This window comes from Homo sapiens, chromosome 12, assembly GCF_000001405.40.
Source record: "Homo sapiens chromosome 12, GRCh38.p14 Primary Assembly".
Taxonomy (NCBI): domain Eukaryota; kingdom Metazoa; phylum Chordata; class Mammalia; order Primates; family Hominidae; genus Homo; species Homo sapiens.
Genome location: NC_000012.12, coordinates 118132019 through 118147364, shown reverse-complemented (window position 1 = coordinate 118147364; position 15346 = coordinate 118132019). Strand labels below are relative to the sequence as shown.

The 15346-nt window shown below is 48.0% G+C and overlaps 1 protein-coding gene and 1 long non-coding RNA gene across 11 annotated transcripts in view, besides 2 other annotated features; one reads left to right on the top strand and one right to left on the bottom strand.

Moving 5' to 3' along the window:
* Positions 1 to 1780: 1780 nt before the first annotated feature.
* PEBP1 (phosphatidylethanolamine binding protein 1) lies at positions 1781 to 11241 on the bottom strand. Its single transcript, NM_002567.4, has 4 exons — positions 11021 to 11241; positions 9217 to 9326; positions 7814 to 7914; positions 1781 to 2779 (listed from the first exon to the last, which is right to left on the bottom strand). The coding sequence occupies exons 1-4, from the start codon at positions 11153 to 11155 to the stop codon at positions 2562 to 2564; spliced, it is 564 nt and encodes a 187-aa protein (NP_002558.1). The 5' UTR covers positions 11156 to 11241; the 3' UTR covers positions 1781 to 2561.
* Positions 10864 to 10953: a silencer, noted in NCBI's record as "silent region_4923". NCBI's record gives its function as "represses an Ori minimal core promoter by ATAC-STARR-seq in GM12878 lymphoblastoid cells {active_cell/tissue: GM12878}" and the evidence as "EXISTENCE:reporter gene assay evidence [ECO:0000049][PMID:35858748]".
* Positions 10946 to 11446: an enhancer, noted in NCBI's record as "H3K27ac hESC enhancer chr12:118573724-118574224 (GRCh37/hg19 assembly coordinates)". NCBI's record gives its function as "activates a minimal SCP1, AML or CMV promoter by ChIP-STARR-seq in primed H9 embryonic stem cells {active_cell/tissue: H9 hESC(primed)}" and the evidence as "EXISTENCE:reporter gene assay evidence [ECO:0000049][PMID:30033119]".
* Positions 11373 to 15346, top strand: part of LOC101928274 (uncharacterized) — a 21648-nt gene continuing 17674 nt past the window's right edge. For 6 of the 10 annotated variants that reach the window (XR_945406.4, XR_945409.4, XR_007063475.1 and 3 more), the window contains exon 1: positions 11373 to 11508. This is a non-coding gene — a long non-coding RNA (uncharacterized LOC101928274). Of the gene's footprint in view, positions 11509 to 11622; positions 11727 to 15346 lie in introns of all 10 variants that reach the window. The other 4 variants (XR_001749342.3, XR_007063477.1, XR_001749343.3 and 1 more) reach the window with 1 other exon arrangement.

Below are 15346 nucleotides of genomic sequence, written 5' to 3'. Positions count from 1 at the left end.
TTTTTCTCTTTAGTTCCGTGTTAGTATTAATATGTTTTTCTTTTTCTATTTTTTTTTTAGATGGAGTGTCGCTCTGTCACCCAGGTTGGAGTGCAGTGGCGTGATGTTGGCTCACTGCATCCTCCACCTCCCAGGTTTAAGCAGTTCTTCTGCCTCCACCTCCCAAGTAGCTGGAATTACTGCAGCCTTGACCTCCTGACCTCAAGTGATCCTCCCACCTCAGCCTCCCTAGTAGCTGGGACTACAGGAACGAGTCCACACATCGGGCTAATTTTTGCATTTTTTTAGAGAGAGAGGGGTTTTGCCATGTTGCCCAGGCTGGTGATCTGCCCCACCTTGGCCTCACAAAGTGCTGGGATTACAGGTGTGAGTCTCCATGCCCAGACTTTACATTTATTTCCAAGGTCAACAGGACAGTTTTTTTTTTTTTCGAGACAGAGTTTCGCTCTTGTCACCCAGGCTTAAGTGCAATGGCGCGATCACAGCTCACTGCAACCTCGCCTCCCAGGCTCAAGCGATTCTCCTGCCTTAGCCTCCCTAGTAGCTGGGATTACAAGCGCCCGCCACCATGTCCAGCTAATTTTTGTATTTTTAGTAGGGATGGTGTTTTACCATGTTGGCCAGGCTGGTCTTGAACTCCTGACCTCAGTTCATCCACCCACCTCGGCCTCTCAAAGTGCTGGGATTACAGGCGTGAGCCACGGCGCCCAGCTGACAGTTGTTTTCTTTGTAACTTGTGTTCAACAAAATCTTATTACGTAAAAAAACGAATTTTAGAACTCTAAAGTAAAAAAAAAAAAAAAAAAAAAAAAACTTCCAGGCTTGGCATGGTGGCTCATGCCTGTAATCCCAGCACTTTGGGAGGCCAAAGTGGTCAGGAGGTCAGGAGTTTGAGAGCCGCCTGGCCAACATGGCAAAACCCCTTTTCTACTAAAAATACAAAATTAGCTGGGCATAGTGGTGCATGCCTGTAATCCCAGCTACTCAGGAGGCTGAGGCAAGAGAATCACTTGAACCCACCCAGGAGGTGGAGGTTGCGGTGAGCCGAGATTATTCCACTGCGTTCCAGCCTGGGTGACAGGGTGAGACTCCATCTCAAAAAAATTAAAAAAAGAAAAAAAGAAAACTTACATCTACCTTATGTGCTTCCAGCAAGGCAACATTTCCAAGTTTTTTCAGAGAAAAAAGTACTGCAGTGAAAGATGGGGAAGGGCTAGTCATTAGCACCTGTCAGGCCTGATTCAGGACCCCCCCCTTTGCATCGCAGAGACCAAATCACAGTGATTTGCACCTTCAAACACCTCCTTTCCTTTCTTTCGGTACATCAGATGGCATGAGACCGTGACCTTCTCACCCTCCTACCCTGCGCACCTCTTTGGTACTGAGCCTCTGTGGATAACACATCAGAACGGGAAGTGCAGGCTACTTCTTAGGCATTGTTACGGTGTCCGCGCCAGACTTCACCAAGGGGGAAGGTTTTCAGCCATCTTCTTTAGAACATCCTTCTTGGGTCAAAAGGACCACTTGAAGCAAAGGTGCTTTTTGGGCAATAAGACTCGGCCTCACATTTTATGATTTTTTTTTTAGAAACCTCAAATCTGAACTGTTTGCTCCTGCTGTGGGTTAATGGCACATGTAGAGGCACAGACCCTCCATATGGCCCCTAGAACAAGTCCCAGCTGTTACTTGCTGGTCACGGAGACGACTCACCCTGAGACTTGACTTCTCACACTTATGAAACCTATACCCAATAGAACAAAACATCCGGGGACTCAGTTCCTTCATTCAGGTTTCTATTTTTATTCAACTACAAGCAAACAGCACAATTAATGCAACATTCAGCAACTCCAGACCAGCTTTTCTTACCCCCATGAAGAACGATCAATTTAAAAAACACAGATCTCAGGTTTCCTCCCAAGCTGTCAGCGAGCGCTGCTACCGGTCTAGATTGCCATGTCCCAACAACAGCAAAGCCACCCTCCCTCCTGCTTCTTCCAGGATTGCTCTTTAAAGGGACCAGAGTGACATACTGATGCCTACTGAGGCATCTGAGATGCACTGTGTTGGAGGTTAGCCTCAATGCCAGCCTCTGGTTGTCTAGGTGAGTGACATCACCATAAAATCACATTGTGTACCATTCTGGACTCAGGATCACAAAGGCAGAGGCAACCAATCTTTTTTTTTTTTTTTTTTTTTAAACCTCCCTTAAAGATTCTTTGATGCTTTGCTCTATCACTGTAGACCTGGTCTTTTTCCCCCCAGTTTTTTCTTTTTTACATTCTGGGTTGCTATTTTCAGATTAATAATTTGATGACCCCATCACAGTACCAAAATACCCCCCAAAATGAAGTTCAAATTTGATCAAAACATAAATCAGAGTGAGTGAGTAAAATTATAAAGGCCAGGCAGCAGGAAAAGTCACCCTCAACTACCATCTGACTGGTCAGGTCTCACCCATGCCAAGGGGGGCAGGAAGAGGAGAAATCTATTATACATGCAACACTGAACTGGGGAACATGGCTTGGGGCCTCCAGGACAGTTCAGGTCCCCAAGCTAACCCCCTACTTCCCAGACAGCTGCTCGTACAGTTTGGGCACATAGTCATCCCACTCGGCCTGGTAACACGTGCCAGCCACCGGGGCCCTGAGCTCATACTTTTTACGGAAGGACGCCACCTTGAATTTGCCACGGTGGTCTCCAGATCGGTTGCTGAGGATGGGCTCGTCACACTTTAGCGGCCTGTCCTGCTCGTAAACCAGCCAGACATAGCGGTGGAGGCCTGTGGGGAGAGGCAGAGGGAAGATGTACACACAGCCCAGCACTTGAGATGGGGACATCATCCATTTTTATCGAATGTTTCAACATGGAGGCACCCAGACCACACCATTTACAAGGAGGACACCGAGGGTCCAGACAGGTATTTGGTGCAAATTAACATTTAATGGCAATTAACACATTAATGGCAAAAACCGCAATTACTTTTGCATCAACCTAATAGAATGTGTTAGGCCCCTGCTGTAACTGGTGTCAAGCCCAAGCCCTTAGTTCCAGCCTCTCCTGGCCTGTGGGATCTGGCCTCTGCACCCCCTTATCCTCGCCTCCCAACGAGCCTCTGTGCTCTTCATTCATCCCACTTCAGGCTCCCGGACCTTCTCAAGTCACCACCCACCACCCCCCATCAGAACACCCATTTCACTTCTGTCAGGTAGGAGCAACCAATTAAGGACAAAGCAAATCAATGACCCGGGCCCACCATACCACAGTCGAGCCTCTAGGATAAAGGAGAACATTTTCTTTCTACCTCCAAAATTTACTTGCTTAGAAAACTGGAGGACTACTTCGAAGTGACCCAACCTCACTTTAACTAAGCAGCTTTCTACAAGCTTCAATGATGTACTGGATGCAAATAGGTACCATGAGCTCTTATTTTTTTAAAAAGTGGGTTTTTTTTTTTTTTTTGAGACGGAGTCTCACTCTGTTGCCTAGGCGTGGAGTGCAGTGGCATGATCTCGGCTCACTACAACCTCAGCCTCCTGGGTTCAAGCAATTCTCCTGCCTCAGCCTCCTGAGTAGCTAGGATTACAGGTACGTGCCACCACGCCCAGTTATGTTTTGTTTTGTTTTGTTTTTGTATTTTTAGTAGAGACCAGGTTTCACCATGTTGGCAAAACTCCTGACCTCAAGTGATCCACCCATCTCGCCCTCCCAAAGTGCTGGGATTACAGCTGTGAGCCACTGCACCCGGCCAGAAACAAAGTTATTTTTTAAAAAGTTGTTTAAATATTTGCACACCCATGTTCAATGCAGCAGTATTCACAATAGCCAAGAAGCAGAAGCAACCCGACTGTCCACTGATGGATGAAAAGATGATCAGAATGTGGTTTATACACACAACAGAATATTATCCAGCCTTTTATTTTTTCTTTACTCCCCTGTGTTACTCTAGGACTATTCAGCCTTAAAAAGAAATTCAGACACATGCTACACCAGAGAACCTTGAGAACATTACATTAGTGAAATTAGCCAGTCGCAAGACAAATACTGTACAATTCCACGAGGTATCTAAAGTAGACAAACACTGCAACAGAAAGTGGAATGGTGGCTGCCAGGGCTAGGGGAAGGGAAATGGGGAGCTGTTGGTCAATGGGGACAGGGTTTCTGTTGGGGAAGATGAAAAATCTAGAGATCTGTTTCACAACAATGTGAATGTAGTGGTCGGGCATGGTAGCTCACATTTATAATCCCAGGACTTTGGGAGGCCAAGGTGGGAGGGTCACCTGAGCCCAGGAGGAATTTGAGACCAGCTTGGGCAATATGGCGAAACCCCGTCTCTACTAGAAATACAAAAATTTGCTGGATGTGGTAGGTAGCCTGTGCCTGTAGTCCCAGCTTCTCGGGAGCCTGAGGTAGGAGGGTTGCTTGAGCCCAGGAGGTGAGCTGAGCCCTGCAGTGAGCTGAAAACGTGCCACTGTGCTCCAGCCTAGGGGACAGAGTAAGACCCTATCTCAAAAAAAAAAAAAAAAAAAAAAAAAAAAAAAGTGAATGTAGTTAACGCTACTGTAGTGTACACTTAAAAATGGTTAAGATGGAGGGGGCGCAGTGGCTCACACCTGTAATCCCAGCACTTTGAGAGGCTAAGGCAGGTGGATCACTTGAGGTCAGGAATTTGAGACCAGCTTGGCCAAGATGGTGAAACCCCGTCTCTACTAAAAATATAAAAATTAGCCAGACATGGTGGCACGTGTCTGTAATCCTAGCTACCCAGGAGGCTGAGGTGGGAGGATCACTTGAACCTGGGAGGTGGAGGCTGAAGTGAGCTGAGATCACACCACTGCACTCCAGCCTCAAAAAAAGAGTTAAGATGGTAAATTTTGCCAGGCATGGTGGCTCTTGCCTGTAATCCCAGCACTTTGGGAGGCTGAGGTGGGCAGATCATCTGAGCTCAGGAGTTCAAGACCAGCCTGCCCAACATGGAGAAACCCTGTCTCTACTAAAAGTAAAAAAAATTAGCCGGGTGTGATGGTGGACACCTGTATTCCAGCTACTCGGGAGGCTGAGGCAGGAGAATCGCTTAAACCTGGGAGGTGGAGGTTGCAGTGAGCCGCGATCACACCATTGCACTCCAGCCTGGGTGACAGAGCAAGACTCTGTCTCAAGAAAAAAAAAAATTTAAAAAAAAAAAAAAAAAAAGAATGCATGGCAGCCACTCCACTTTGTTTCAGTGAGCTTGGCTACTTTAGGTATCTCATAGAATTGTACGGTATTTGTCTTTGTGTGACTGGCTCATTTCACTAACATAATGTTCCTCAGGGTTCATCCTGGTGTAGCATGTGCCCAAATTTCTTTTCAAAGCTAAATAGTCCTAGAATAATACACAGAAGTTTAAACAAAAAGACTGGATAATATTTGGATATTTCTTCATAATATCCAAATACTGGAAACATCCCAAATGCCCATCAATAGAGAATGGCTAAACAAACTGGCCTGTTCACCAACGGGAATATTACTGAGCAATAAAAAGGGGTAACTATTGATACAATCTATGGACCAATCTCACAGATATTATCTGGAATGAAGCAGACCAGTCACCCAAATTTTTTAAAATACACATTGCATGATACTTTTTTTTTGGAGGCAGAGGCTTGCTCTATCGCCCAGGCTAGAGCGCAATGGCACAATCTCAGCTCACTGCAACCTCCACCTCCCGGGTTCAAGCCATCCTCCCACCTCAGCCCCACAGGTGGCTGGGACTACAGACGTATGCCACCATGCCTGGATAATTTTTGTATTTTTGGTAGAGACAGAGTTGTACCATGTTGGCCAGGCCGGTCTTGAATTCCTGGCTTCAAGTGATCCAACTGCCTCCACCTCCCAACATGCTGGGATTATAGGCGTGAGCCACCGTGCCTGGTCCATGATACCATTATATGAACACAAGAATAGCGAAAGTGGCTGGACACAGTGGCTCACGCCTGTAATCCCAGCACTTTGGGAGGCCAAGGCGGGCGGATCACAAGGTCAGAAGTTCGAGACCAGCCTGGCCAACATGGTGAAACCTTGACTCTACTAAAAATACAAAAATTAGCTGGGCGTGGTGGTGGGCGCCTGTCATCCCAGCTACTCAGGAGGCTGAGGCAGAAGAATCATTTGAACACAGGAGGTAGAGGTTGTAGTGAGCCGAGATCACGCCATTGCACTCCAGCCTGGGAGACAGAGCGAGACTCCATCTCAGAAAAAAAAAAAAGAATAGTGAAAGTGATTTATGGAGACAGGAGTCAGAATATGGTTAGCTCTGGGGGAATTTAAGTAAAAAGGTCACATGAGAATGTCGTTGGGCGATGGAAATGTCATCTGTCTTTCCAATGGCTGCTACCTTCCATGGGTGTATGCATTGATCACATTTGCTGACTGAACCCTTCCGATCTGTGGATTTTGTTACCATGTAAATTATACCATATTACAAGAATATGGAAAAAACAACAAGAAAATGAGTTACTGAGGCTTTTTTAAAAATGAGAACACAGCTCTGCCGGGCGCAGTGGCTCACGCCTGTAATCCCAACACTTTGGGAGACCGAGGCAGGTAGATCACAAGGTCAGGAGATTGAGACCATCCTGGCTAACACGGTGAAACCCCGTCTCTACTAAAAATGCATAAAATTAGCCAGGCATGGTGGCGGACACCTGTAGTCCCAGCTACTCGGGAGGCTGAGGCAGGAGAATGGCATGAACCGGGGAGGTGGAGCTTGCAGTGAGCGAGATCGTGCCACTGCACTCCAGCCTGGGAGACAGAGCAAGACTCCATCTCAAAAAAAAAAAATGAGAACACAGCTCTTACTTGAGAGAATTGCCTTATTCTCATGGGTAAGCTTCCCATAATTAACCTGCCTAATTTTATAACTGCCCTAGAGAACTTACTAGGTCCCTGGGAAATCTGTCCCTTTACCATCTACTATGCATGCGTGAGAGGGTTTAAAGGCATCTGAAGCTTCCGGGTCTACAGAGAAACCATGAGCCCATGACCAACTGTCCATGTCAGAGATGTTCTTGTACCTCTTCATGTTAACTCCTGGCTGGATAAGCTGTACAAAAAGCTAGGATTATGACAGTTCCACCAAATGGAAACATCCTGAACTGAACACCAGGCAATAAGAATGCATATCTCACCATCAGCTTAGGTGGCACTTACCCAACCTGGAAAGTTTCAATACGGTGGGCTTTCTCTTTCTATCTCTAAATATCTACATGTATTTTATATATAATAGCTATAACACGATACTACACAATACAATGTGTGTGTGTGTGTGTGCGCCTTCAATATAGTTCTACTGAAGTCTTCCAAATCTGTTTTCAATATACCCAGCTAGACTTTTTCAGAAACAAATACAGAAAGCAACCTTATATAGTTAATTTGGAAACTATGATCATTTCTGAAATGTTTTAAAGAAACTCAAAGATCACCCCGGGCAAAGGCTTGAGATAGTTTAACTGTGTATTCCACTCACTGCAGCCCCAAAAGGCCATGCTAAGCTTTCTGCAACAGTGCTTCCCTCTCACCAACTTCCCTGCTTGCTAAAGGGCTAGGGGTGCAGAGACAGCTCTACACAAAGGGTCCGTCTGTCCAGAACCCAAGGCTCTAGCCACCTGACACTGCTGCAGGTCTGAATGTGTGCCCTGAAGGCAGCTGCCCTAGAGGTAAGCTGAGATGCTATTTCCAGCAGGGTTAAGGGCTCTCAAAAGAAAAGCATTGGGTCAATCCTAATGTGCCCCCGAGCTCCCTCCCCAACCTCCCACCAAAAACAACCTTTACTAACCTGTGCCCTTGGGAGGCCCCGAGCCCACATAATCGGAGAGGACTGTGCCACTGCTGATGTCATTGCCCTTCATGTTGACCACCAGGAAATGATGCCATTCTCTGCATGAAGAAACACGGGATGTCAGCACCACAGGAGATCAGGGAACATTCACTGCACAGTCAGCAACTGGGCATCAAGAACATGCTGGCTGCCACAACACAGCCACGAACAACAGTCCTTTCTTTTTTTTTTTTTTTTGAGACAGAGTCTCACTCTGTCACCCAGGCTGGAATGCAGTGGCACGATCTCGGCTCACTGCAAGCTCCTCCTCCTGGGCTCAAGCAATTCTCTGCCTCAGGCTCCCAAGTAGCTGGGATTACAGGCGCCTGCCATCATGCCTGGCTAATTTTCGTATTTTTAGTAGAGACGGGGTTTCACCATGTTGGCCAGACTGGTCTTGAACTCCTGACCTCGTGATCCCCCCGACTCGGCCTCCCAAAGTGCTGGAATTACAGGCATGAGCCACCGCGCCCGGCCCAGTCCTCACTTTCTTAGAGGCCAGCACGAACCTCATGTGTTTGCAGAAGAGCAGACCCAGCCCCTCCCACCCTCTGACATTTTCTAGAGCAAAGGTCAGCAAACTTTCCACTAAAAGGCCAGAGAATAAATTTGTTAAGCTTTGGGGGCCACAGTCTCTGTTGCAACTATTCAACTTGGCCTTGGCAGCATGAAAGCAGCCACAGATGACACATAGCTTTGCTCCAATAAAACGTTAACTGATGGACACTGACAGGTAAATTTTGTGTAATTTCCACATCATAAAGTACTATTCTTCTTTCAATTTTTCACCAATCATTTAAAAATGTGAAAACCAGGCCGGGCATAGTGGCTCACACCTGTAATCCCAGCACTTTGGGAGACTGAGGCGGGCAGATCACCTGAGGTCAGGAGTTCGAGAGCAGCCTGGACAAGGTGAAACCCCGTCTCTACTAAAAATACAAAAATTAGCCAGGCATGGTGGTGGGCGCTTGTAATTCCAGCTACTCGGTTAGCTGAGGCATGAGAATCACTTGAACCTGGGAGGTGGAGGTTGCAGTGAGCCAAGATCATGCCACTGCACTCCAGCCTGGGTGACTGAGACTCTGTCTCAAAAAAATAAAAAATAAATAACTAAATAAAAATGTAAAAACCATTCTTAGCTCATGGGGCTGTATAAAAACAGGCCACAGGTGGATATGGCTCTCGGCTGTGAGTTACAGACACCTGCTGTAGGGGGGCAAAAGGGCAGGAAAGGCACTCTCTGGCTTAAGCATGGGTGGGGGCATCCCAAACCAGGTCTACTTCTCTGTGTCCAGCAAGGGACTTACACCCGATAACTCATCTCTGCATGACCTGCTCTTCTCGTCTTTCTCACCTCTCACCTGTATTTGGGATCCTTCCTGCTGGGAGCATCCGGGTCTGTCAGGACCAAGGTGTAGAGCTTCCCTGAATCAAGACCATCCCACGAAATGCTGGTGGGTCTATTCTTAACCTGTATGAAGGAACCAGTTTGCAGTAAAAAAGTCAGAAATGCTGAAGAAACTGGCTGGGTGTGGTGGCTCACGCCTGTAATCCCAGCACTTTGGGAGGCCTAGGAGAGAGGATCACTTGAGGTCAGGGGTTTGAGACCAGCCTGGCCAACACGGTGAAACCTGCCTCTACTAAAACTACAAAAATTAGCTGGGCATGGTGGCGGGAATCTGTAATCCCAGCTACTCGGGAGGCTGAGGTGGGAGGATCACTTGAGCTGGGGAGGCAGAGGCTGCAGGCGGCCAAGATCACCCCACTGCACTCCAGCCTGGGCGACAGAGTGAGACTCTGTCTCAAAAACAAGAAATGCTGAAGAAACCAATACTCTTTCTTTGATCTCAGACTCTCCAAAGACAAAACAGAATAGATTTTTAATAAAATCAATGACCCTGTATTGACTGTAAGAGCCAGGAGCTGGAGTTTTATATACGTTATGTATTTTATTTGAGACCAGGTCTCCTTCTGTCACTCAGGCCGGAGTGTAGTGACGCTATCAAGGCTCACTGTAGCCTCAACCTCCAGCGCTCAATCGATCGATCCTCCCACCTCAGCCTCCTGAGCAGCTGGGAACTACATGCTCACACCATCACACCTGGCCAATTTTTTTTTGTAGAGTTGGGGTCTTGCTATGTTGCCCAGGCTGTATATTATTTCAGTCCCAACAACACCATGGGGCTAGTATCCCAGCACACTATTAAGAGAAACAGATAAGGCTGGGATTCCAACCCTGGCACTGAGTCCCCTCTCAACGACACCCTTACATTGTCTGTCCGGAATCACAGCGTTTCTGGATTTGGTGATCAGGAGGTTACCTGGAGCCTGCTGAAGTGAAATCTGCATTAACTGTACGTTTCAAAGTGCAAAGAAAAGGAGAAAGCCAAGGTGATGAGAGGCGGGCAGGGAGCAGGAAAAGGGAGGCTGTGTTAGATGGGCACTACATATTTAAACATCCAAAAAAATTAAATTCTGTGAACATCCAAAACAATGTAAGGTCGGGGCAGTTTATTTTACGCTGTTGCCCGGAGCTTCATAACCAACTAGCAGTGGCGTCTGCAAATCTAGTTTCTTCACTTTCGGCAGCCCCAGCCGTGGGCGTGGGAGGTCAAAGACCAAAACTAAACCGTTGCCCTCCAGCGTACCGGCTGGACGCTCTCGACCCATTTAACAAAGGAGAAATCGGCCGGCGCGCTCATCGCCAGTTACATAATGCGTCACAGGCTCTCGGGTGAGGCTTCAGCCCTCCAAAACCAGGCCTAAAATGCTGAGGCCCTAGGGGAAGCTCTGGGGGCGTCCGGGCAGCCACAGCCTACTCTGTCCCGGCGACGTCCCTCTCCAGCGCCCTGGCCTGTGGGGGGAGAGGGGGATCCGGCCTGTTTCCGAACCTAGGTCCCTCTTGGGTCTGAAGCCCGGGAAAAGTGAATGAATTTCTGCCGCAGGCCGAACCTGCCTGGCCACGCCACAGGCCGGGTTCCCGGTGCTCGGGGTGGCCCCCAGGCATGGGACATGGACCCCGGGACCTCTGGCCTGGGGGGGCCTCGACACACGCAGGCTGAACCTCCCCACCGCCCCTGGCCCTGTCTCCGCTGGGTCCCACCCAGGAGGCCGGCACAGGCCTCCGCGCCGTGCCGCTCGCTGCACGCCCGCCGCCCGGTGTACCTGGGTGGGCGTCAGCACTTTGCCCAGCTCGTCCACCGCCGCCCCGGCGTAGGTGACATGCAGCGGGTGCTGCGGCTGCTCGTCCACTTCTTGCAGGCTCAAGGGCCCGGACCACTTGCTGAGGTCCACCGGCATGGCGAGGCCAAGCAGAGCGTGCAGCCGGGAGTGCCGCGGTAGGCCAGGCGCGGGCGACAGAGGCGACGCGGAGAGCTCAGCACACTGGCTCGGGAAGACGCAGACCCAGCGACCACGCGAGAGCACGCGCCTCAGCCGCCGCCCAGCCCCGCGCACCGCCCCACGTCACGCCCACCGCTCCCTGGCCTCTGATTGGCCGAAGCTGGCAGAGCAGGGCCTCTCGCGCTCCTGGGTCCATGCAACCTGCTCCCTGTGGCTGCCGAGTTCTCGGGAACAGCGGCTCGGCCTGCAAGGCTGTTGTTTCAAGAAATGAAAATGAAGGGCGCCCTGGAATAGGTTCGCCGAAGAGAGAGGTTCGTGTCTCAGAAAGTGTCGCTGGGAAAAAAAAATGCAATTGAATTCGCCTTGGTTGCGTTTTGGTTTTCTTAATTTTTTGCATGATTCTTTGCTCCACTTTCCAAATTCAGCAACATGGCCTGTCGCGGTGGCTCATGCCTGTATTCCCAGCACTTTGGGAGGCCAAAGCAGGAAGATCGCTTGAGCCCAGGAGTTTGAGACCATCCTGGACAAGGTAGCAAGACCCCGTCTTTACAGAAAACTTAAAAAAAAAGAAAAAAAGAAAAAAGCCAGACACAGTGGTGCATGCTTGTAGTCCTAGCTACTCCGGAGGCTGGGGCGGGAGGATCACTTTTTTTTTTTTTTTTTTTTGAGACGGAGTCTCTCTGTGTTGACCAGGCTGGAGTGCAGTGGCGTGATCTCGGCTCACTGCAAGCTGCGCCTCCCGGGTTCACGCCATTCTCCTGCTTCAGCCTCCCGAGTAGCTGTGACTACAGGCGCCCGCCACCACGCCCGGCTAATTTTTTGTATTTTTAGTAGAGACGGGATTTCACCGTGTTAGCCACGATGATCTTGATCTCCTGACCTCGGCCTCTCAAAGTGCTGGGATTACAGGCGTGAACCACCACGCCCGGCCGATCACTTCTTGAATCTAGGAGTTTGAGGCCGCGGTGAGCTACGATCTTGCCACTGCACTCCTGTCTGCGCTTCAGAGCCAGATCCCATCTTCTCATACACACACACACACACACACACACACACACACACACACACAGCAAATTCAGAAACAGTAAGGCCTTGCTTTTCTCCTGCACTTTAAAACGAGCCAGATTCTCTGTATTTTCGCACGTGATCACTTGTCATAGTAATTGCCTGGTGAGAGCACCTGAGTGAACTTTTGAGCATTTAAATATATGGGGAAATGTATTTGTCCGTTTTCTCCACACACAAAATTCGTCCTCACAAAATTCCTGAGAAATGTTTGGGTTTTGGTTTTTTATGTTTGTTTTTTGAAAAACAATTTTAAACCATATTTATTCATACCAAAACTGCTCTTACTGTGACCACAAGCTGCTTGCTTTTTGCTGAATATGATAAGCACTATTTTTTTTTTTTTTTTTTGAGACGGAGTCTTGCTCTGTCGCCCAGGCTGGAGTGCAGTGGCGTGATCTCAGCTCACTGCAACCTCTGCCTCCCGGGTTCAAGCAATTCTCCTGTCTCAGCCTCCCGAGTAGCTGGGATTACAGGCAGGCGGCACCGCGCCCAGCTAATTTTTGTATTTTTAGTAGAGACAGAGTTTCACCATGTTGGCCAGGCTGGTCTCGAACTCCTGACCTCATGATTCGCCTGCCTCAGCCTCCCAAACTGCTGGGATTACAGGCAATAAGCCACCGCGCCCAGCCAATAAGCACTATTTAACAGTTCTTATCTGTTTTGACTCTTGACATTGATAATTCCTCCCATGGAATAAAAAGTTGTCTCTTGATTTACATTCTTACTAGGAAATAATACGAGTTCATTGTAGAAAATCAAAGAAAAAAACCCAAAGAAGTAGAAATCCCCTTCTATCCCACTACTTTGTTATAAACGTCAGTAATCATTTAGGGTATATCTTTCCTATTTAAAAATAATATGAGTATAGATGATTTTGTTGTTTATTCACCAAAAGATTGCATTATATCCTACCATTATAAAATAGTCATATCAAAAATAGGTCGTCAGGCCAGGTGCGGTTGCTGAGGCCTCTAATCCTAGCACTTTGGGAGGCTGAGGCAGGAGGATCACTTGAGTCCAGGAGTTTGAGACCAGCCGGGACAACATGGTGAAACCCCATCTCTACAACAAAATACAAAAATTAGCCCGGTATGGAGGGATGTGCCGGTAGTCACAGCTACTACCAAGGCTGAGGCAGGAGGATCACTTGAGCCTGGGAGTTTGAGGCTGCAGTGAGCCGTGATTGTGCCACTGCACTCCAGCCTGGGCGACAGAGTGAGACCCTATCTCTACAAAAATAAAGCAAAATAAAAAAAGTCTTCAACATTTTAATGACTTCTCTAGATGCACCATCATTTATTCAACAAGCCTCTTGATGTACTCTGTTTTGTTCATTGTTTTCCTTTTACAAATATCACTGAAATGAACTTCCTTATACATATATCTTTAAAAACTTGAAAGACTGTTTTTGGAAAATTTTATTACATGGGAACTTTTATTAATTAGGTCAAAAAATACACACTTTATTTTTTGTTTGTTTTGAGACAGTCTTGCTCTGTCGCCGAGGCTGGGATGCAGTGGCACAACATGGTGAAACCTGTCTCTACTAAAAATATAAAAATTAGCCAGGCGTGGCCGGGCGCGGTGGCTCATGCCTGTAATCCCAGCACTTTGGGAGGCCGAGGCGGGCGGATCACGAGGTCAGGAGATCGAGACCATCCTGGCTAACACGGTGAAAACCCGTCTCCACTAAAAACATACAAAAAAATTAGCTGGGCGTGGTGGCGGGCACCTGTGGTCCCAGCTGCTACTCAGGAGGCTGAGGCAGAAGAATGGCATGAACCTGGGAGGCCGAGCTTGCAGTGAGCCGAGATCGCGCCACTGCACTCCAAGCCTGGGTGACAGACCGAGACTCCGTCTCAAAAATAAAATTAAAATAAAATAAAATAAAATAAAATAAAATAATAAAATAAAATAGCCAGGCGTGATGGCACACACCTGTAATCCCAGCTACTAGGAAGGCTGAGGCAGGAGAATTGCTTGAACCTGGGAGGCGGAGGTTGTAGTGAGCCCGAGATTGTGCCACTGCACTCCAGCCTGGACGACAGAGTGAGATTCCATCTCAAAAAAAAAGAAAAAAGAAAGAAATATTTACAATATATTCTCTGAAGCCTGCTACTTGGAGGCTTTTTTTTGGGGGGGATACTCCACAACCCCTTATCATAACCCAGACATTCCTTTCTATTGATAGTAACTCTTTTAACCAATTGTGAATCAGAAAATTTTAAAATCTACCTATAACCTGAAAGCCCTCCCACTTCAAGTTATCCTACCTTTCTAAACCAAGGTTTTGTTTTTTTGTTTTGTTTTGTTTTGTTTTGTTTTGTTTTGTGTTTGAGACAGGGTCTCGCTCTGTCACCCAGGCTGGAGTGCAGTGGTGCAATCACGGCTCACTGCAGCCTCAACTTCCCGGCTCCAGCGGTCCTCCCACCTCCCGCAGGTGTGTGCCACCATGCCTGGCTACGTTTTGTATTTTTAGTAGAGACAGGGTTTTGCCACGTTGCCCAGGCTGGTCTCGAACTCCTGAGCTCAAGTGATCCACTGGCCTCAGCCTCCCAAAGTGCTAGGATTACAGATGTGAGCCACCACAGCTGGCCCCAATATATATCTTATATGTATTTAATTGCTGTCTCATGTCTCCCTGCAATGTATAAAACCCAGCTGTGTCCAACCACCTTGCACACATTTTCCCTGGGTCTCCTGAGGGCTGGGTCATAGGCCATGGTCACTCATATTTGACTCAGAATGAATCTCTTCAAATGTTTTACAAAGTTTGACTCTTTTCATTGATGCTATTTATTCTGCCGTCTGCTTGTATTTCTGCCACGTGTGCCTCTTCTAGGCCAGAAGCTTGGGCAGGTGCTGGTTGAGGGTAGACTCAAATGAACCAGCCTGGAAAACCACCAGTTGTTTTTGTTTGTTGAGTGAGGACCAGGAAATTCACTGATGTGGTTATTTAGTGAAATGGCTTCATGCCAATTTCACTCATTGTGCTTCTGCAAGAGAAACTGTTTAATGAGGGAATTTGGGGCCAGGGGCGGTGGCTCATGCCTGTAATCCCAGCACTCTGGGAGGCCGAGG

Bases quoted from the DNA above. Each gene is read 5' to 3' on its own strand.
- PEBP1 (NM_002567.4), bottom strand. From the start codon at position 11,155: ATGCCGGTGGACCTCAGCAAGTGGTCCGGGCCCTTGAGCCTGCAAGAA. The intron at 9,327-11,020 runs GTACACCGGGCG...TCCTTCATACAG, and splicing joins AAGTGCTGACGCCCACCCAG to GTTAAGAATAGACCCACCAG. The intron at 7,915-9,216 runs GTGAGAGGTGAG...TTCTTCATGCAG, and splicing joins AGGAAGGATCCCAAATACAG to AGAATGGCATCATTTCCTGG.